Source organism: Homo sapiens, chromosome 2 (assembly GCF_000001405.40).
Source record: "Homo sapiens chromosome 2, GRCh38.p14 Primary Assembly".
Lineage (NCBI taxonomy): Eukaryota > Metazoa > Chordata > Mammalia > Primates > Hominidae > Homo > Homo sapiens.
Window position 1 is genome coordinate 235,682,232 of NC_000002.12, and position 20,599 is coordinate 235,702,830.

Here is a 20,599-nt window from a genome sequence, read left to right on the forward strand (position 1 = left end):
ACGTTGTGGACTCCTCCTTTCAAGCTGGGCATATTTCATTTTCACTCTGAACTAGCTTGGTGGCCAAGAATGAGGCGTCTGGAACCAGGATCCTGTTTTGTGGGGGTTTTGTTTTGTTTTGTTTTGTTTGAGATGGAGTCTCACTCTGTTGCCCAGGCTGGAGTGCAGTGGTGCACTCTCGGCTCACTGCAGCCTCTGCCTCCCGGGTTCAAGAGATTCTCCTGCCTCAGCCTCTCGAGTAGCTGGGATTACAGGTGTCTGCCACCATGCCTGGTTAATTTTTTTTTAATTTTAGTAGAGATGGGGTTTTGCCATGTTGGCCAGGCTGGTCTTGAACTGCTGACCTCAAATGATCCTCGCACCTTAGCCTCCCAAAGTGCTGGGATTATAGGCCTGATCCACCATGCCTGGCACAGAACCCTGATTTTGCTTCTAGATTTGTGACCTTTAGCAAGTTATTTAACTTGTTTGTGCCTCAGTTTTCTCACCCGAAAAACTAGGACTGACAATGGCATTTAACCTGCTGGGCACTGGTGAGTGAACTCGATGTGTGGGTGTGTGCACACGTGTGTGTGTGTGTGTGTGTGTTTTCAGGCAGCACGAGCACGGAATTCATGTTCCGGTCTGTTGCCAGCTGCTGTAGTTCTTTTGTTGATGGACTCATCTCACCCCCTCCAACACAGGGAATGTTCTGGAAGGAAGTGTGGCTACCCTGCCATGGTTCTGTGTCTATGGGAAATCTTATTCTCCTGGAAAACGCAAAGTAAATTCTTCCCTTTAAGACAGAACTGAGGGCCGGTGCGGTGGCTTAATTCCTGTAATCCCAGCACTTTGGGAGGCCGAGGTGGGCAGATCACTTGAGGCCAGGAGTTCGAGACCACCTGGTCAACATGGTGAAACCCCCATCTCTACTAAAAATATAAAAATTAGCTGGACATGGTGGCACACACTTGTAATCCCAGCTACTGGGGGGCTGAGGCAGGAGAATCACCTGAATTCGGGAGGCAGATGTTGCAGTGAGCTGAGATCGCACCACTGCACTCCAGCCTGGGCAACAGAGTGAGACTCCATCTCAAACAACAACAAAAAAGACAGAATTGGTAAAAATACTGATCCCTTGGAAAGAAGTAACTATTTTAGATACCATTGTTTTATTAAAAATGTACTTGCCTCCCTCATATACACATATTGATATAATGCCATCTACATTTGTATAATTTATAAATATTATACAATACTTAATACATATTATATTTAATATTAATAAATTATACAAATAAAACTTATAGATTATAAAATAAGTTTAGTTATTTTAATATTTAAATGTGCTAAATGTAAGTTTGTAAAATTTAGGAATAACTTGTTAGAAAGGTGAAGAAGCTCTGGATTGAAAGGTATGTGCTGAGGTCAGGAGTCCAGCTTGCTCTCCTTTGAGGAGATGGCCTTGTTTTTTCTTTCTCTCTCTCTCTTTTTTTTTTTATTATATTTTAAGTTCTAGGGTTACAGGTGCACAACATGTAGGTTTGTTACATAGGTATACATGTGCCATGTTGGCTTGCTGCACCCATCAACTCGTCATTTACATTAGGTAATTCTCCTAATGCCATCCCTCCCAAGCCCCCCGTCCCCCGCCCGGCCCCAGTGTGTGATGTTCCCCGCCCTGTGTCCATGTCTTCTCATTTTTCACCTCCCACCTATGAGTGAGAACACATGGTGTGTTTGGTTTTCTGTCCTTGTGATAGTTTTGCTGAGAATGATGGTTTCCAGCTTCATCCACGTCCCTGCAGAGGACATGAACTCATCCTTTTTTTGTTTGTTTGTTTGTTTTGAGATGGAGTCTTGCTCTGTCGCCCAGGCTGGAATGCAGTCGCACGATCTCGGCTCACTGCAAGCTCCGCTTCCCGGGTTCACACCATTCTCCTGCCTCAGCCTCCCAAGTAGCTGAGACTACAGGTGGCCGCCACCACGCCTGGCTAATTTTTTGTATTTTGTTTAGTAGAGACAGGGTTTCACCATGTTAGCCAGGATGGTCTCGATCTCCTGACCTCATGATCCACCCGCCTCGGCCTCCCAAAGTGCTGGGATTACAGGTGTGAACCACCGCACCTGGCCACAGCCTTTCTTAAGGCAATCACGAGACCCAGCCCATCGTGGCCTGGTGAAGGAGCAAGCCCTAGGCTTCATTCTCAGTTTGGAAAAAACCGTCATTGCCCAGAATGTCCCATTTACACATTAATTCCTAAATGGAATGATGGGAGCGCTGGGTGCTCAGAGGCTTCCTTTTGAGGATTTGCCAGCTGCTTCTGGACTGTAACTTTTGCAGCAACTTCTGCACTCATTCATCAGGTGCAGAGCAGTGTCTTAGAAATGAGTGAGTCTTAGTGATTTCTTGGAGTGTGGATCCATACACACTTACCTCTTTTCTGAACTATAGATGGGAAGCTGCTGCAAAAAAGCAAGGTGCAGCCCCTTTCTTGTATGAGGGAAGCTACTGTTTACCATCCATGGCTGCTTGAGTTTTTAGAGCTGCGTCAGATGAATAACTTGTTGGTATCACTCGTCAATCTTAGAGGCACTTTCAGAGATTAGGAATTGTGACCAACAGGAGAGACTATCTGGCATTAGGAACACCAGGGCCTATTTTGGATCATGCTGTACTGCTTACGGTCATGCCCTGTCCAATCTGGGATGACTGTGGCATACAAGTCACCATGGCCATTGTGAAGCCCTTGTTCTTGGAGACCCTGTGCTCCAGGTGTGGCTGGTTGGTTCCCTGTGGCAGGACCCCCAGAGGCCCCAGGGGTTGTGAGAGTCAGGGGTGTGCAGGTTCTGAGGGCTTTGCTGGGTGGGCCGAGGTTGAGTGGGCTGGTTGCAGAATCCTGGTGCCCAGAGGGTTCTTCTTTGCCTGTTGCTGGGGACTCACGCCTTGTGAGGGGACCTTTCTTTATTACCCTGATGAGGACAGAAGAGTTCCTGAGAGGAAGCCACAAGCCGCCTCCCTGACCTGGCAGCTGCCTGTGTGCCCTGGTGTGTGGGTTCCTCCCTTCCTGGGTTCATGCAGCAGACTCTTGGCAGTGCAGGCCTCCTTCCAGGGGCTCTCAGGGCTCAGTTCTCATCTCTCTGGGTCACACTGAGCCCTGCTGATCCCCCTCCTGTGTGGCTGCCTCTCTGATGCCTGAAACACCTTCAGCTGTTAGTCCCACGGCCTCTCATCACCTCGATATCCTTTTCTGCTTGCTTTCTGGTTTTCAGTGGCTGCCAGCAGAGGCTGTAATGCTCCCCTGGGACCTGACCAGTAGAGAACAAATGCTATGAAGACCAGAGGCCCCTCACTGCTCCACGCGTATACAGGGTGCGTCTGTCTGGACAGCCGAAGGCCCATGGGTGGTTTTGTTTTCAAAACACAATGAAAAATGACTAGTCATGCCATATTGTTAGCACCTTTCGATTTTTTTTACTGTAAAAATCAAAACAGAAATATTTGGCTCCAGAGCTCTGTGAACCCCGAAAATTTGAGACGGGTCTCAGTTAATCTTGAAAGTTTACTTTGCCAAGGTTGAGGATGTGCGCTCATTAACACAGCCTCAGGAGATCTAACAACATGTGCCCGAGGTGGCCTGAGCACAGCTTGGTACGTTTTAGGGAGACATGAGACACCAATCAATACATGTAAAATAAACATTGGTTAGGTCCAGAAAGGCAGGACCACTCAAAGTGGGGAGGGGGCTTCTGACATTCTTTTGAGTTTCTGATGAGCCTTTCCAAAGGAGGCAATCAGATATGCACTTAGTGAGCAGGGCGATGACTTTGAATAGAGTGGGAGGCAGGTTTGTCCTGAGCATTTTCCAGCTTGAATTTTCCCTTTAGCTTAGTGATTTTGGGGGCCTAAGATTTTTGTTTTCCACAGGTCTTTTTAGGAATTTTAAAGATGTATCTCATCCAGTAAAGCTGAAGTCCCCCCAAGTGGTAGCTGACCATAGACTAAGCCTCCTGCTGTACGGGGCACCCGCTGGGAGGGAAGAGGTGCTGGCCAAGGTGAATAGATGGTCAGATGGGCGATAGGAATGAACACTTTGCCATGGTGGATGTGCTTTAGTGATAGAATTTGTTCAGGAGATTATCTTTGTTCCTGGTTTGGGAAGGCAGAGCTTCTATATTGGAATTCTTTGTCTCCCAGAATAAAAACTCTAACATCACCTGTATTATATTGTGGGGATTAAAATCATGCACTTGTAGCCAAACCTAGGTATGAGTGTGAGCGTACACTGCTGACAGATTGAAATTTGACGTCCGAATTCTGGTTCCCAGGAAGGAGATATATATATACACACACACACACACACACACACACACACACGTGTGTGTGTATATATATACGTGGAGATATAGATATATATATATATATATATATATAGATATATATATATATATATATTTTTTTTTTTTTTTAGACAGAGTCTTGCTCTGAAGCCCAGGATGGAGCGCAGTGGCGTGATCATGGTTCACAACAGCCATGGGCTTAAGCAGTCTTCCCACCTTAGCCACCCAAGTAGCTGAGACTACAGACACATGCCATCATGCCCAGCTAATTAAAATAATTTTTTTTTTTTTTTGTAGAGATGAGGTCTTACTGTGCTGCCCAGGCTGGTCTCAGACCCTTGAGCTTAAGTGAACCTCCTGTCTCTGCCTCCCAAATGTTGGGATTATGGGCCTGAGCCACTGGGCTTGGCTTAGGAAGGCTTTTTGAATAATTATCTTCCTCACTCTTCTTTCCACCCACTCTCCATTCAACCCTGATGAACCCTGCTGGACTTCATTACATTTCTGCTCACTTGACATGCAGATTGCAGATCAGGTGGGCGGGAGCTGATAACATTCTCACTTGGCCTCAGTTTCCTCGTATGTCCAATGAAGGGATGCACCCTAGCTCTAAAAGTAAACATTGTTCTCAACAGAAGAATCTGGGCATTTGCTATCAAACAGATTCCCATTCTTCAGGCAGTTAATTTTCCACACCACAGGAGATGTTTGTGACATTTCCCATTTCTTTGAAGTCTAAAGTAGATATTGATCCTTTGGAAGGAGATTAAGTTCTCCGGTTCCATCAGGTGTAATGATTTCAGTTTTAGTGTTCCTAGGTGGGGAGTGCTAACCCAAACCTTTCATATGTAGGAATGTCATCCCTCTGCAGACCTTTGAGTCCAGATTTCATTTGTAGTTGACCTTTGGGGGTGACAGTCCGATATGTGTAAATCGTAATAGCCCTTCATCGTAGATACCAGTTTAAAATTCATTTTAGGTGAGTTTCCAAACAGATATATTGGATGTATATCAGTTTAATTTGATAAACATGCAGATAAAAACTTATTACATGAGGACCAGTGTTTGAAAGATGGCTTACATGACCTGATGAGTTTTCATTTTGTCCGTTTCCAAAATACACAGGAATGCAGGAATGCCACCTTCGTTCAGATCAGACTTATCTTCTTCGCAGGATGTGGCCAGAGATTTATTTAAGACATTAGCTGTGATGAGGAAGGTCAGATAATTTAAGCAGGGGCAAAGTACACATTACTGAGGATTCAGCGCTCTTTGGTAGAAGGATGTGTTCCTGGATTTTTTTTTTCTTTTTTTTTTGGATTTTTCTTCTTAATCGCCGCTCTCTGACTTTTTTTTTTTTTTTTTTTTGAGATGGAGTCTCACTCTGTCACCCAGGCTGGAGTGCAGTGGCGCCATCTTGGCTCACTGCAACCTCCGCCTCCTGGGTTCACGCCATTCTCCCGCCTCAGCCTCCAGAGTAGCTGGGATTACAGGCACGCACCACCATACCCAGCTAATTTTTGTATTTTCAGTAGAGACGGGGTTTCACCATGCTGGCCAGGCTGGTCTCAAAGTCCCAACCTTGATCAAGTGATCTGCCCACCTCGGTCTCCCAAAGTGCTGGGATTACAGGCGTGAGCCACCACGCCCAGCCTTGCCCTCGGATCTTGAACCTCCTGTCTACTCTTGCTGGGCTGTAGATGGACAGAGGTGTCAGTATTTTAGGAGTGTGATCTCTCCTTTTGCTCATTGGTGTTTGAGGTCTGTGGTGTCTGTTTGGGGAGCAGGTGTGTGCAGGAAGGAATCTGCACTCTCCACTTTTGCTTTCCCAACATTGTTTTTTTCATTCTCTCTGGAAGGTCATGACGGTCCCCTCCACTCACTCACCTCTCACATTTCCAGCCCCTCTACTTCAGACAGACTTCCGAAACTTTCTGCCTCTCTTGGGGTACTTTAGTATGCCCTGCAGATGTAAGCTGCTTTCAGAAAAAGCCAGATCCTGCCACATGAGACTGCAGGCCCTACTAGAATCTGTTCTATCCCACATCTCCAGTTATAGGTGGGTGGGAAGTGGGAATTGGAATTTTTTCCTTTTGTTCAGATTTTCGTCATGACCACGTGTGTACCCGTTAAGACTAGACAAGGGAGTCACCGCTGCTGAAAGAAAAGTCATTGTGTATTCATTTTGCATTGGAGGAAATGAGCATTGGGGTGCTTTGGTGACAGCTTGGAGGAGCAGGGGAGTCAGTGGCATGACTAGGCCTGGGTCCCCTCATCCCGCCCCTCATTCACCCGCTAGTGCTGTTTGAGGGCCAGAACCAACTGTGCCTGTGTTTAGACTGGGTTTGTTGCTGTGTCACAGTAACGCAATTGCAGCAGCAGCAGCCGCACCCGTGTAACGTTCGCCAAGCTGGGTACTGTTGGAAGCACTTTGCTTGCATTTGTGCAGCGATTCCAGCAACAACCCTGTGCGGTAGATTATTGTCCCATAAATCTATAAGATTGATTGATTGGTTATCTGTAGGAGACATCTACGTATACGTATTTATAGAGCAATGAAGAAATAAGCCCAAGGCTATCCCATGAGTTAGGGGCTTCAGGGCTTCTGCGCTTTGCTGGCCCTTGTGCTGCCTTCGGTAGATGGCCCCGGCCCTGCCTATGCCTTGGACACTCTTCATTCGCTAGCACCGAGATGGTTCAGGGCACTTTGGAGCTAGAGCAAGAGCAATGGAGAGAGTGAGGTTGCCGTGTCCACAAGTCACTGCACAGCTCACCACGCGGGCCTGGAGTGAGCCTGCTGCTGTTCATCGGCCCGTAGGGTCTCCAGCACAATACCGGGTTAGTGAGCAGAAAGTAGTGCACTGATTATGTTTCCATTACACCATAGAACATAACAATTTTGACTGCAGAGAGGCAGGCAGAATAGCTTGTCCAGGAAAATAATAGTGCGTTTGTAAGCCAGAGAAAGATGGTACTGTGTGGTGGGGAATTCTGAAAGTCTTAAGTCTGTTTCTCAACTCCCCTCTTGTTTTCATTGTTTCAGGCAAATAATTTCTGATGGACACCAAATTGGCAGGTCACCATAGGGACCTCCCCTAACCTCAAATCTGTGTAATGAAGTATCTGCAACATTTCCACTCATTTGAGAGTTCCACTTTTCAGGACAGTCATAGAGCTGCACTGTTGGTAAACTGTCCTGCATGTGTGTACGTGCACACTTGTGTGACGTGTCAGCTCGTGCCTGCAGAGACTCTGCCAGCAGGGCTGAGGCTGCTGCCAGGAGAGCATCTGGGGTGGTGTCCTACACCTCCTTTCCAGGAGTTTCTGTGTGCATGATGCACTTCAGAACCTATAGTGTCATTTGTGGTATTTTTTTTTTTAAATACTGCTTTTGTTTATTTTCCCTGGTCTAATTTTTTCAGATGGTAAATAGATCGCGTTGTTGCATGCGTTTGATGAAAGTGATATCACAGCAAATGCAAAGGTGACTGGGAGTTCTAAGCCCCTGGGTGTCTCTCCCTCGGGGTTTTCATGCAGTATTGACACTCTCTTCTCCCCAGGTGCTGAGTCCCCAGGTTCCCCTCTCCCCCTACCTGAGGTACTGAGGGATCTCACTTGCTACCTGCTTGGAGCCAGTCCAGTGGCTTCACTTTTACCACTCAGAGAACTTTAGTACACAGTCTTAAACAACCCTGGAATGTTGAGCTAAAAGGGACTCTGACCCTCCCTCCGCACCCCACCCTTTAAAGGTGAAAGCAGCAGGTGGGGTGGACTCCTGGGGCTGGGGAGGCCGTGCCCTGGGGGCAGGTGCAGGAGGGAGCCTGGCTCTTCAGGTTAAATTGTGTTTCAAAGGCAGAGCTCACATTGGAGCACTTGATATTATGCATTTGAAACATTGAGACACAGCTTCTAGTTTAAAATAAAGGTGATAGCCAAGGAGGAAAGCATGGTTTATTCCTAGCTTCCGGTAGAGGAGGCTGGCCAACTCAGACACCTAAGCAGCCACATCAGACCCAGAGTCCGAGGTAGAATGGATATTGCTAAAGCTGAGAGCTACAGCAGAGCGTCTGCTTGAGGAGCTCTGACGGGCTGGGCAGCCAGTGCTCCTGGCCCTGAATGTGTTTGAAGGAGCTCTTTGGAAAGAGGTGCAGGCTTCCGGCTATTGGTAGACACCTGTCTGCTTGGGGCAGGTATACTGACTTTTTGTTGCTTTTACGGTTATCTTCGGGTAAAGTCATTGTGTTTCTTCTTGATTTATTTATTTTTTTCTCCAGTCTAGTCATAGTATTGGTTTCGAGAAGTCAAAATCAATGTTTTATTTTCAGAGTTCTAAATCCAGCCATATAAATACTTCGGATCTGGCCTGAGGGTTTGGCAGGGATTCGTGGCTGCTATTTTAGATATGCCAGGAGCCTTCTTGGAAGTCGCTCACCACCTGGTTTTCTCCAATTAGGCTATGAGCCTGTATCTTAGAACACTCAGATTAGTGTGCCTAGAGTGCCAAGGTGGGGGTTGTAGACAAGATTCTACCCCCTCCTCCAGACTCTGCTCCCTAGGCCGAGGTGAGGCCAGCAAGGAGTCTGCCCCATGCGATTCTGAGGCCTTGGTCCCTTCTGAGAGACCCCAGCCCCGAGAGGCTCTGGGCTGCTGGATGCTGGTGCCTTTTCCCACCGTCAATCAAGCACATGCGCATAGGGCTCTGTGCCTGGCCCCAGGACTGTCATATCCAGGGAAAGGTCACTCTCTGGCAGTGGATGCTACCCTGTTGGTGGCAAGTTAGAAAGGCACACGTTGGTAATGGCCAATGGTTGCCAGTGCCTTACTTTTGGAGACAGGAATTGTTACACGTCTCCGTTGCGAGAAGCAAAAGTAGATTTAACACATCTTTAAAATCCGCTGAAGACTGTAAAGATACTCATTTGAGATGTGCCAACATTTAGTCGGATTCTGTGACTGGTCGTGAGTCCCTCTTCCTCCACACAGCAACACTGGTTCTAAAACAGTCGGATAGCCGTGGTCATTTGTGGATGTGAGCACAGCCAGGTCCCATGTTGACAAGTGCTGGACAGTGGACACCAGCGGGAGACTCAGTACAAATCATGTTGCTTTGGGCTTATGCACATCTGCAGAAGGCTGCAAGCTGGGGAACTGAGGGGCCTCTTGGTCTGGGGACCACGCCTCCCTTCCCTTCCTTCCCTGTCCTGAGTGTGACCTCCGTCATGTTGACCCCTGCACTCCTGCCCGCCCCCCATTCACCCACTAGGAGAAAGTACTGGATAGGGATGAGCTTGGGGACAATGGCCAGTGACATCCAGGAGAGGGAACTTAGAGGCAAGGCAGGGATGCAAAATCGGAGTTCCTAGTAGAAACAGACATGCAGCATATTGTGAAATGTTTCAGAGAAATAACAGCATCACGATAGCACATTCTCTAGTTGCTGGTTATCTAGTTACTAGTGGTAAGACAGAGCCAGTTAACAAAGACTATAAAGTTTTCTCAAGAGGATGTAAACCAAGTAAACAAAATAAATTCAGACCCCAAGTGCGCATATTGAGTTTGAATATTCATCTAAGAAGCTTTTGTACATGCGTTATGTATCCATAAGCCAAAGCCGGGGGCTCCCTGGCAGATGCCCCTACCTGGCCAGGTCTCGTCGTGTCTAGGTGGTGACAGCCATGTAGATATGCCCGCTGCCTTGCACCTGTTCCTCTGGCCTCGCCTCTGTAACAGAACGTGGCCCCTGCCTTCCATCTTCCCCAGGGTGCCAGTGGGGACCTTGCCTTCTCCAGCACTGGGCCGTCCACTTTGCTCCTTTGTGCCTGCACTGCCAGGTGCACATCGAGCCTAATCTGGCTTAGGAAACAGGAGGGGCACCAGCTAGAAAATGTGACCCATGTTGCCAACTCCCAAAAGCCACCAGGTGACTTCCACTGCCGTTAGAATGAAACCCAAACTCTGCACTCCAGCCCCAGCATCAAACCATACTTCGCCCTGCTGCCCCTATGCTCTCCCCCCTTGCCCTCCCCCCTTGCCTTCCTGGGCCATCCTTTTCTGACTCAGCCTCAGTGCCTAGCCAGTGGGTTCCCCTCGCTGACCCTCAGCCCTCAGGCCCAGCACCTCAGAGAAGCCGATGACTGACGTGCACCCCGCCAGCCTCCCTGCTTATCCTTCCCTGCCGCCTCGTGTGTCCTGCATGGCATTTGTTACAGCCCGCAGTCACAGGTCTTGCGGTGGACTTGCTGGTCGGCTGCTCTGCTGATTCTCGAAGGCGGAGTCAGGGTGTGCTTGGTGTGCGTATCTCCCTTGATGTGGCACTGCCTGGCTCCGGAGATAGCGAGGGAGGGAGGGAGGCAGTGAGCAGGACCTGTTGCTGTCGGTGGTGGCATCAGTGGAGTTGGCAGGTACTGTGCATGGGAGAGGGAGTGTGGCCTGCAGGCCAGTGGCTGAGGCCCAGTGTGGACTGTAGAGTGTCAGATTCCACTTGCTGGCCTAGGGGCCTTCCTGATGTGGGCTGCGGCAGTCACCACTGGGGAAGGCCATGCAGAGGCTGACTCCTTGGGAAGGAGGCTCTGGAAGGAGAGCATGTGCAGAATGTTTCCTGCAGTGCCTCTTGAGCTCCCGCCTGAGGGTTTGCTCAGCCGGCAGGCCTAGAGGAGGGGGCTTTGGGGCTGCAGTGCAGTCTTTGCAAAGGGTTCAAGGGTCCTGAAGGTGGTGGCACTGTGGCCTTAGGAGCTGGGGTAGTACTCAAAGCTATCCCCAAGTAGGCACGGGGGCTGGGCCTTTATGCCTGTCACCAGTCTATGATTGGACGTGTTCTGCCCTCCAGGGGTCATATCCTTGGGCCACACCACTCACTTCTCTGCCCAAGTGCAGTCTCTGGCATGGGGACTCAGCCTAGAGTGATCAGCCACCTGCACTCCCAGCAGCCAGGTACTGAAGGCTTTACCCCTGAACAGAGGGACAGGCTGGTGCCCACCACAGTCATGCGAAGGCATTGCGGAAAGCTCTCATTAAAAGAGCATTAAGCCAGGCCTGGTGGCTCACGGCTGTAGTCCTAGGTACTCGAAGCTGCGGCGGGAGGATCACGAGCTCAGGAGTTCGAGTGCAGCCTGGGCAACATAGTGAGGCCTCGTCTCCAAAAAACCCCACAAAACATTAGAAGTAGTAGTACTTGCTATTCTCATAGGAGGATGTAGAAATTAGATAAGAGTTAACTGAGAATAGATTTGAATTAGCTTTTATTCCCACTGAAAAAATCAGAAATAAACTTGATTTCCTCTGGCATAAGTGTGGGTCCTGTGAGTTGATCCTCAGCCCTTACTTGGGGGTTAATGACGTTCCCATTTGAAAAACATGGCAGTTTCAATGTCTGTTAATGTTGCAAAGCATACCAGGAACATTTTATAAAAAGTAACAGAAACTACCATGTGATTCTGGAAGCTGCATAGTTAACTGTCCATTTATCTTGAAGTCTAGTGATTCAAAGCATGAGGAATAAGATCGGGAAGCTGGCCAGATGTGGTGGCTTACACCTGTAATCCTAGCACTTTGGGAGGCTGAGGTGGGTGGATCATCTGAGGTCAGGAATTCAAGACCAGCCTGGCCAACATGGTGAAACCCCGCCTCTACTAAAAATACAAAAATTTGGCCAGGCATGGTGGCTCACACTTGTAATCCCAGCACTTTAGGAGGCCGAGGCGGGCGGATCATGGGGTCAGGAGATCGAGACCATCCTGGCTATCATGGTGAAACCCCGTCTCTACTAAAAATACAAAAAGTTAGCTGGGCGTGGTGGCGGGCGCATGTATTCCCAGCTACTTGGGAGGCTGAGGCAGAAGAATGGCGTGAACACGGGAGGCAGAGCTTGCAGATAGCCGAGATCGCACCACTGCACTCCAGCCTGGGCGACAGAGCGAGACTCTGTCTCAAAAAAAAAAAAAAAAAAAATTAGCTGGGCATGGTGGCAGTGCCCTGTAATCACAGCTCCTCGGGAGGCTGAGGCAAGAGAATTGCTTTAACCTGGGAGGTGGAGGTTGCAGTCAGCCGAGATCGCGCCACTGCACTCCAGCCTCTGCAATAGAACGAGACTCCGCCTCAGGGAGAAAAAAAAAAAGAAAAAAAGGAAGCTGCTACCTTCCCAAGGACACTTGCTCCTCCTCGTCTTGCTCAGGCATCTCCTGGGCACCTTTCGGGGCAAGTCCTGCTGTCACTGCACAGCTCACCTTGTATATGTGGGGTGCTCTTCTCCTCTCCTGAGGAGTTATGGGTGATTAGGAAGCAAACGCGTCTCAGACTTGGAGATCAAATGAAGAGAGGCTGTGTAAGCACCAGGATGCATGGGGGGTTCCGGCTTCTTCGCAGTTTCACCTGGTTTAACCCAAAGGCAAGCAACAGGGATGCCCAGGGCGGGTGAGAGGTGCTGAGCGGAGCTCCATAGTTGGAGAATGTAAGTATTTAAAAATTCTTGTGTCTATTTTACTATTAAATAGACTGTATAACCTCAAAACCAGTTAAGAATCTTTGACATTCATGGTGTGAAGGATGAGAAGCTGGGAAATAACAAGGACCTTTTCCTCGTGTTTCCTCCTTAATTATGCTTGCCAGTGTTTTAAGCATCGAGGCTGACCTTCGCAGGCTTCAGGGTTTCAGCTTGATCACCATGTGGATGTGGATGAGTCAGTTCACTCCATAATAGCTCTTAGAGGTGTAGAAAGGAACTACTTCTTTCCATGAGTGCACCTTTATTGCCCTATCTTATAGAAATAGTAGATGCTCATCGTAAAGACTTACAACAGGATTGAAATTGGTAAAGAGAAAAAGGCAATCCCCTACCCCCGTCCCTCAGAGATAGCTGCTGTTGTCAGATCAGTTGGATATTCTTGAAGACAGCTTCCTTCACGGGTGTTTATATGTCGTCTCTGTCAGTCAGTTACATGGTGAACAGACAGCGGCTCAGGTTACAGACGATCTGTAGCCCAGTGTTTGTGCTCAGTATATTACACTTGATCTGTCGTGGAACTTTTTTCAAGAACAGACAGCTTTTGTTCTGGACACAGTATTTGGTGGGGCCTAGGTCTGCCTGTAAGCATACATATTGGCAGAGCAGTGTCTCTTCCACATCTGAGCTGGTCAGGCAGAGGGCCGGGCGCAGTGGGGGCACTTTGCTGGGTGAAAGAGGTAAGAGGTAAGTCAGCAGGGGCACAAAGAAACCATGCGTATTCACAGGAGCATCTGAGCTCCAAGCCCAGGGAGCTGAGAGGGGTCACTGTCCTTCACAAGGAGGTGGCTTCTTTTCTGGACATCAGACAGCATTGTTGCAGGAGATACTGAATAACCAACCCCTCTGTGATGTAGTCTTCAAGTTTTATTCCCTTGGGTGCACCAGCGGAAGGTCTGTGCTGAGAACAGAGGAGGGCCGAGGAGACACTTGCATGGGGTTGTCGACAGAGGGGCACCAGGATGGGTATTGCCCAGAGGGAACCTGCATGATTGTTTTGTTTACCATTTTTCTTGAGACGGAGTTTCACTGTGTTGCCCAGGCTGGAGTGCAGTGGCGTGATCTCAGCTCACTGCAACCTCCGCCTCTCGATTTCAAGCGATTCTCCTGCCTCAGCCTCCAAAGTAGCTAGGATTACAGGCGTGCACCCCCATGCCCAGCTAATTTTTGTACTTCTAGTAGAGACAGGGTTTCTCCATGTTGGTCAGGCTGGTCTTGAACTCCTGACCTCGGGTGATCCACCTGCCTCGGCCTCCCAAAATGTTGGGATTACAGGCGTGAGCCACGGCCCCCAGCCTGTTTACCAATTTTTAAACCATGGCTTATGACCCTTACCCTGAGCATCAGTGACAGGGGAACCAAGAGTCGTGTGAGGTCCCAGGGTGCACAGTGGACATTTCAGTGTGAAGGGCGGGTCGGGTGCCCCAGCTTCCACGCTTTCCAGCCTGGATTGTGGCATCTTGGATGTGAGGCCACAGACCAAGCTCACAGGGATGAGAGATGGTCCGTGTGGGTCAGCCGGCTCAACAGACCTTCTCCCAGGAGGCTGATTAGATTTGCTGAGCATTACAACCTGATGGGCAGGATTTGTTTTAATCATGTAACACAATCACAAAATTAGTAGTGGCACCATGCTATCGCTGCCCCTTTCCCATGCATGTGCTGCAGACTTATCTGTGGGGGAAAAATTATCCATGCCACCTCTCAGAATGAGCCCCGTCCCCACCTTATACGAGACCATCCCAGCCAACACAGTGAAACCCCGTCTCTACTAAAAATACAGAAATTAGCTGGGTGTGGTGGCACACGTCTGTAATCCTAGCTACTCGGGAGGCTGAGGCTGGAGAATCTCTTGAACCAGGGAGTCAGAGGTTGCAGTGAACCAAGATGGCACCACTGCACTCCAGCCTGGCGACAGAGCCTGGAGACTCGATCTCAAAAAAAAAAAGAGAAGTATCCTAACTTTTGTTTCATTCGATTTGCCATTAAGTCCGGTTATTTTAGCTGAACCTTCCCCTTAGGTCAGTGCCAGCCCATTAACCTGAGAGAAGCTGGGACAGCCCCAGGCACCAGCCAGCTTTAGGTCTGCGTGGAAAGGGTGTTCTTACTAAGAGCAGATTCTGGGAGGTGAGAGCTGGAAGAACCGGAGGCAGCCCTCCCATTTCACAGATGAAGAGATTAAGGCCCCAAGAGGCTAAGTGACTCGCAGAAAAGCTGCCCAGGCGTTCCATGTAGAGCATGGATTTGAACCAGCATTGCCGCATCGGGATGGGGAGGTGCTGGTTTGCTTGTTAGCTGTGTTGGGTGTACATGTTGTTCGTCTTCATGTGAGGTTGTTAGAAGTAGTTTAGCCACATTAAGTGCCCAGTGCCCCCACTTCCCCCTGCAATCCCCGATGAAGCAATGCTTCTCTGTGAGTGACATGGCAGGGGGGACCAATACCTAGTGGACTGTCTGTGTCTGTCACCCCTGTGCCTGGGAGGGGTGACCCTTGGCTTCACAGACTGTGCTCCCTTCACCTTGCCCCACGGACCCTCCCCCAACCAATTTCTTAGTCTGCTCTTGTGGCGAAAATTCAGCAACAGTAAGGAGTGAGTTAATTCTGATTGCTCTTTCTGTGGTAATCTTCTGGATTTATTTGTGTCTATTATTGAGCCATCCCTTATTATAAACATTAATTTCACCATGAATTAAACAGTATGACTGACTGAGTTTATAATTCTTTCTGGAATGAAAACTGTCAGGCCCAATTATATCCAGCCCAGGACTGACAGAAACTCAGCATATGAATTGTAAATATCTTGTCTCCTGCGTTCTTTATTTTAACCAGGGAAAATGTTCTCGTGTCTATCAACTTGTCTTAACTTCAGCAAATACAGTGGCTCTTGCATACTACCAGCATCTAAGCTGCAGTCGAAATTATCTTTTAATACAGCAGTCTCCAAGCTTTTTTGGCACCAGTGACTGGTTTTGTGGAAGACAGTTTTTCCAGGGACCCAGGGGTCGAGGGAGGGGGGATGGTTTGGGATGAAACTGTTCCAGCTCAGATCATCAGGCATTAGATTCTCATAAAGAGCACACATCCTAGATCCCTCACAGGTGTGGTTCACAGTGGAGCTTGCACTCCTGTGAGACTCTAATGCCGCCGCTGATATGACAGGAGGCGGGGCTCAGGAGGTGGTGTGAGCTTATGGGGAGCAGCTGTAAATACAGATGAAGCTTCGCTTTGCTTGCTCACACGCTGCTCACCTCCAGCTGTGTGGCCCTGTTCCCAGCCAGCCACGGATGAGTACCAGTCCACGTCCCTGCGGTTGGGGACCCCTGTTTTAATATACATCTCCACCCAAACTGCAGTAAGACAAATAGCTGTCTACTCTTACATCTCATGAAAAAAAAATGGCTGTGAATTTAACCTACGGATTTTGTTTTTTCTTGCAGTTTCTGACTTGTACCTTTTCATAAAATATCCCTATTCAACATTTTCACTTTCAAGGACTCAGCAGTTTCATTTTAGGTGTTAAAATGTTTTAAAGCATTCTCGAGATCTGTTCAAAATTCTACGTCTTATATGAAATGTAGGATTCTGGCTTTGGTCTAAGGTGACAATGTTCTACCGCTTCTTAGGGGTGCCAGGAACCCCTGGCGGGAGGCCGTGTCTCCCTAGTGTGACAGCTGGCGTTCTGGTGGTGGCGCTCAGTGTGTTCCTACAGTCATTTTCTCAGGTTCTTGTTATTGTAGCAGCTTGATGGTTGCATAATTATTCATCATACCTATCACAATTTTTAAATTTTTATTGCTCTTCCCACTTTAGATAGAAGCTCAGTTACTCAGAGGCTCAACAATAAATTGAACATGTAGTCAGCATGTGAAAACCCCAGGGTGGGTTTTTAGCAAGCTCCTGAAGGCAGGTGTCTGGAGATTAGAGAGGAGAGGAGCACAGGGGAGCCCCGTGCCCATACCTGTGGCTGGTTGGTGGTGTAGGCAGGAGATGGTGGCCTGGACCACCACGGGCATCAGACATCCCCCCCCCCCACCCCACCTAGGCTCGCACAGGAGGGACGGGGAGGCAGGAGGGAAAGAACTGGTCGGGCAGGACGTCCCTACATGCCCCCTCCCTTCCCCTCCAGCTTTTCTCCTACTTTGGTGGGGTGTTACTGCTGGGGCATGGGAACAGCGGATGAGCTGGGTCAGGGGGATGGGGGTCTAGGGCTTGGGGAGACCTCCTGTAGATACAGGCAGTGTCTTTGGTTGCGTTGTCTTGCTACAGAGAGCCTGATGTATTTGTAAGAAGACTAAGAAGGTTTTGGATGATGGTGATCAGGTGCTTGTTCCCTTTAGCAGGGGAAATTGGGGCTGACTTTATAACATTGGAGCTCACTATATACTAGAAGTTGAATTGTACTTTTTTCCCCTGGAGTTCTGTGACTCCTTTGAATTCTCACGGGTTAAATGGGATCCTGGATACTCCCTCCCTCTTTGTAAAACCCCTGGAGCATTTTGTGGCTGAAATTTACTTCTTAGAGCCATGAAATGCCCTCCAAAAAGTGAAGCACCACATCCAAATTGCATTCCATGCCCAAAGTGGTTAACATCCCTCAGAGATGCAAACTCAGAAGCATTTTTGGTTTTGAGAGCCACAGTGCTTTACCCATAGGATGGGCAGGCCATTCCTTCTGCTGACTGCGTCAGCAGTCCGGGCTCCAGGAGAACCAGCATTCGCAGTGGGGGTGTCTGCACTCTCTACCAAGCTGTCCAGGTTCAGGAATTAAAGATGGAAGTGAGAGCCTGTGAAACAAGGAAGCTATGAGGTGTGGGGCTTTGCCAGAAGTGCCAGGGAGGCTGTAAAATGTGTTTTGGAGGCAACCTCAGGCTGGTTCTTCTGGGGACCTCGGTGTTGGGGGAACGGCCTGTTTCTGTAGCTTGGGATGAACTTCTTCCCTGCATCTGTGAACAAGCTTGTACTCAGCCTGTAGGTTAACAAGCTGGGGCCAGAAGGCTGTACTGCACTGGACCCAAAACCTGCCCTAGGAAGATGCTTGCAACAAAACTTGTTATCACCTTGGTTTATAACAGTGAGATGGAAACGGGATGGAATTGGGGCATGGGTTTCAGGACTATGAAGTTATTATTTATGCATTAAATATTCCGAAGCAGCCTCAGCTAATGGAACACAGTTCTTCTGAAGGAAATGCGGAAGATAATCCCAGCAGTGCAGGAGAGCTGTGCTCCACTCCTCAAGGCTGTAGGTGGGCCTCTGTTTTCACATTTTAAGAAGGAAAGGGCAATTTTCTTCCTTGCCGTTTTGACTTTCAAATCCTCACGCCCTCTGCTTTGATTCTCTCAGACGTGAATCCTTTAAGCAGTGCTTTACACACCCACGACAAGGGCGTTCTTGGGGAACACCGTGATTCTGGAGGGGTATTATGAGGCACTCAGGAATGCTTTTGAAGAAACTGTAATGAAAATGAGGGCCGGGTGTGTTGGCTCACACTTGTAATCCCAGCACTTTGGGAGGCCGAGGCAGGTGGATCATTTGAAGTCAGGAGTTCCAGACCAGCCTGGGGAACATGGCGAAACCCCGTCTCTACTGAAAATACAAAAATTAGCCAGGCATGGTAGCGCGTGCCTGTAGTCCCAGCTACTCAAGAGACTGAGGCGGGAGAATCACTTGAACCCTGGAGGCATAGGTTGCAGTGAGCCAAGATTGTGCCACTGCACTCCAGGCTGGGCGACAAAGCGAGAATCTGTCTCTGTCTCTCTCTCTCTCTCTCTGTGTATATATAGTATATATTATATATGTATATATTGTATACTCTACATAGTATATATTTATAATATATGTATATAATGTATAATATATGCATATATTATGTATTACACATGCTAGCATATTTGTAATATATATATTATGTATTATGTATATATTATATATGTATATATTATATATGCTATAATATAGTTATATGTATATATTATATATGCTATAATATAGTTATATGTATATATTATATATGCTATAATATAGTTATATGTATATATTATATACTCTATAATATAGTTATATGTACATATTATATATTATGTATATATGATATGCTCTATTTAGTGTATATTTTATATATTTATATATATGGGGGGGTGGAAATCACTATCCTCTAAGAAGTTACAAACCTGCAAATCCTCTAGAGCCCATTTGGGCCGGCAAACTTTTGCCTTGGGATTTCCTTAGAGGAGAAGAGAGAGGACCCAGTCAAATGCTGACGTTGTTGTGACAGATTCTAAGTCGCCTCAGGGCTCAGGGGAAAGAGCCTTGGAATTGCAGGCAGTGGCGTGGATGTACCTGCAGGGGTGGGCATGGTGGCATCTTGGTGGCCAGGTGTTCGTCACCCTGCACTGAGAGGGCCTGGTGAATGGCAAGGTCAGGGGATGCTGTCCGGACATGTCAGGATGGGAAACTGTCTTGTCTGTGGATCTTTGAGGCTGCTGAAAAGGATCTTTGAGCCTGAACTTCCAGGGAAGCCTGAAACCAATCTGGTATCCCCAGGGTTTATGTTTTATTTCATTTATTATAGGGATTCAAGGATTTCCAAATAAGAAATTAAATCCTACCATTGAAACTGTGCTGGTGAACTTCTGCTAAGTCCTACATTTGAAAGTCATCAGCGGATTATGTCTGATCCAGTTTGCAGCGGGCTCTTTTCCGGCTGCGTTGAAATGGATTTCTTTATTCTATTTAAGACTCCACTTCCTTCCTCGGCACAGAACTGACAGGCTGTGGCAGCCACAGCCTCCTCCGATGCTCCTCTCCTCTGTGGATGTACCATCTTTCTTCCATTGTTGTTTTGTTTTATATTTGGGGGCTTTACGGCTGCTTTAAACTAAAAATAAATGCTCCTCCCCTTTTCTGTGCTAAAAATAATAGTTAAAATCCTTGTGACGTTTAAGGTTTTCAAAGAAAATTCCCAATTTCTGAGATAATATGTTGTTTTTAAAATGTCACCTGCAATTTCAGGTTCCTTTTTTTAGCCTTGTGTATAATTTCACGAGTTTTGTCTGGAATGCGTATTTGTGGTTCCTGGAGCCAAACAGAATTGGGGGCTGGGCTGGGGGTGAACGTGACACGGGAGACCATCAAGTCATTCTAATATTGGCTGCATGCTGTGCTTCTAGTTGATAATTTGGAGGAGAAAATTAGAGTCCATAGCTCTGCTGGGGAATGAGCCCACCTGCCAGACGATGGCTGTCTTAATGAAGATGAGGTCCTGGCTCCCTTGTCTAATGAAGAATGTGGGGGAGCCTTTAGCAGAAGGCTCTGAAATCCCGAGGAAGGACGCAGTGGAGGCACCGCTGGACAGGAGCTGCCTTCCCTGGTCCTTGCAGCCAGGCTCCTGCAGCCTGGGAAGGTGGGGCTTCCTCATCTCAGGTCCAGAATCCTCTGAAAGTTCTCTTCCTTGACCATAGTCCTTGGGCCCTGTTCCCTTGTTGGTGTTGTTTGCTGAGGTAGAATGCTAAGATAGGCCAACTGGAGTCATTTCCAGGATTACTTCCCATTCTAGAATTTTTGGTATATGTTGGTAGTCATATCACATGGATGACTTTTTTCATACACGTTTATGTGCTGTAGGTTGAACCCCACTGTGAAATTGCCACTATTCAAACATATTTGACCATATTTGTGCCTCCAGCACAGCAGCGAGTACAAGTAGCACATGTGCCTGTCTCCAAGCAGGAACATCTCCTCCTGGCTGTGGTCAGATTGATCTGGCAATTTTTATGTGGTTT

At 48.0% G+C, this 20,599-nt stretch overlaps 1 protein-coding gene across 5 annotated transcripts in view, besides 2 other annotated features; it reads left to right on the plus strand.

Moving 5' to 3' along the window:
- AGAP1 (ArfGAP with GTPase domain, ankyrin repeat and PH domain 1) overlaps positions 1-20,599 on the plus strand; it is a 637,751-nt gene that overhangs the window by 188,189 nt on the left and 428,963 nt on the right. The window lies entirely within an intron of this gene.
- Positions 8,463-8,963: an enhancer, noted in NCBI's record as "H3K4me1 hESC enhancer chr2:236599338-236599838 (GRCh37/hg19 assembly coordinates)". NCBI's record gives its function as "activates a minimal SCP1, AML or CMV promoter by ChIP-STARR-seq in primed H9 embryonic stem cells {active_cell/tissue: H9 hESC(primed)}" and the evidence as "EXISTENCE:reporter gene assay evidence [ECO:0000049][PMID:30033119]".
- Positions 8,964-9,464: an enhancer, noted in NCBI's record as "H3K4me1 hESC enhancer chr2:236599839-236600339 (GRCh37/hg19 assembly coordinates)". NCBI's record gives its function as "activates a minimal SCP1, AML or CMV promoter by ChIP-STARR-seq in primed H9 embryonic stem cells {active_cell/tissue: H9 hESC(primed)}" and the evidence as "EXISTENCE:reporter gene assay evidence [ECO:0000049][PMID:30033119]".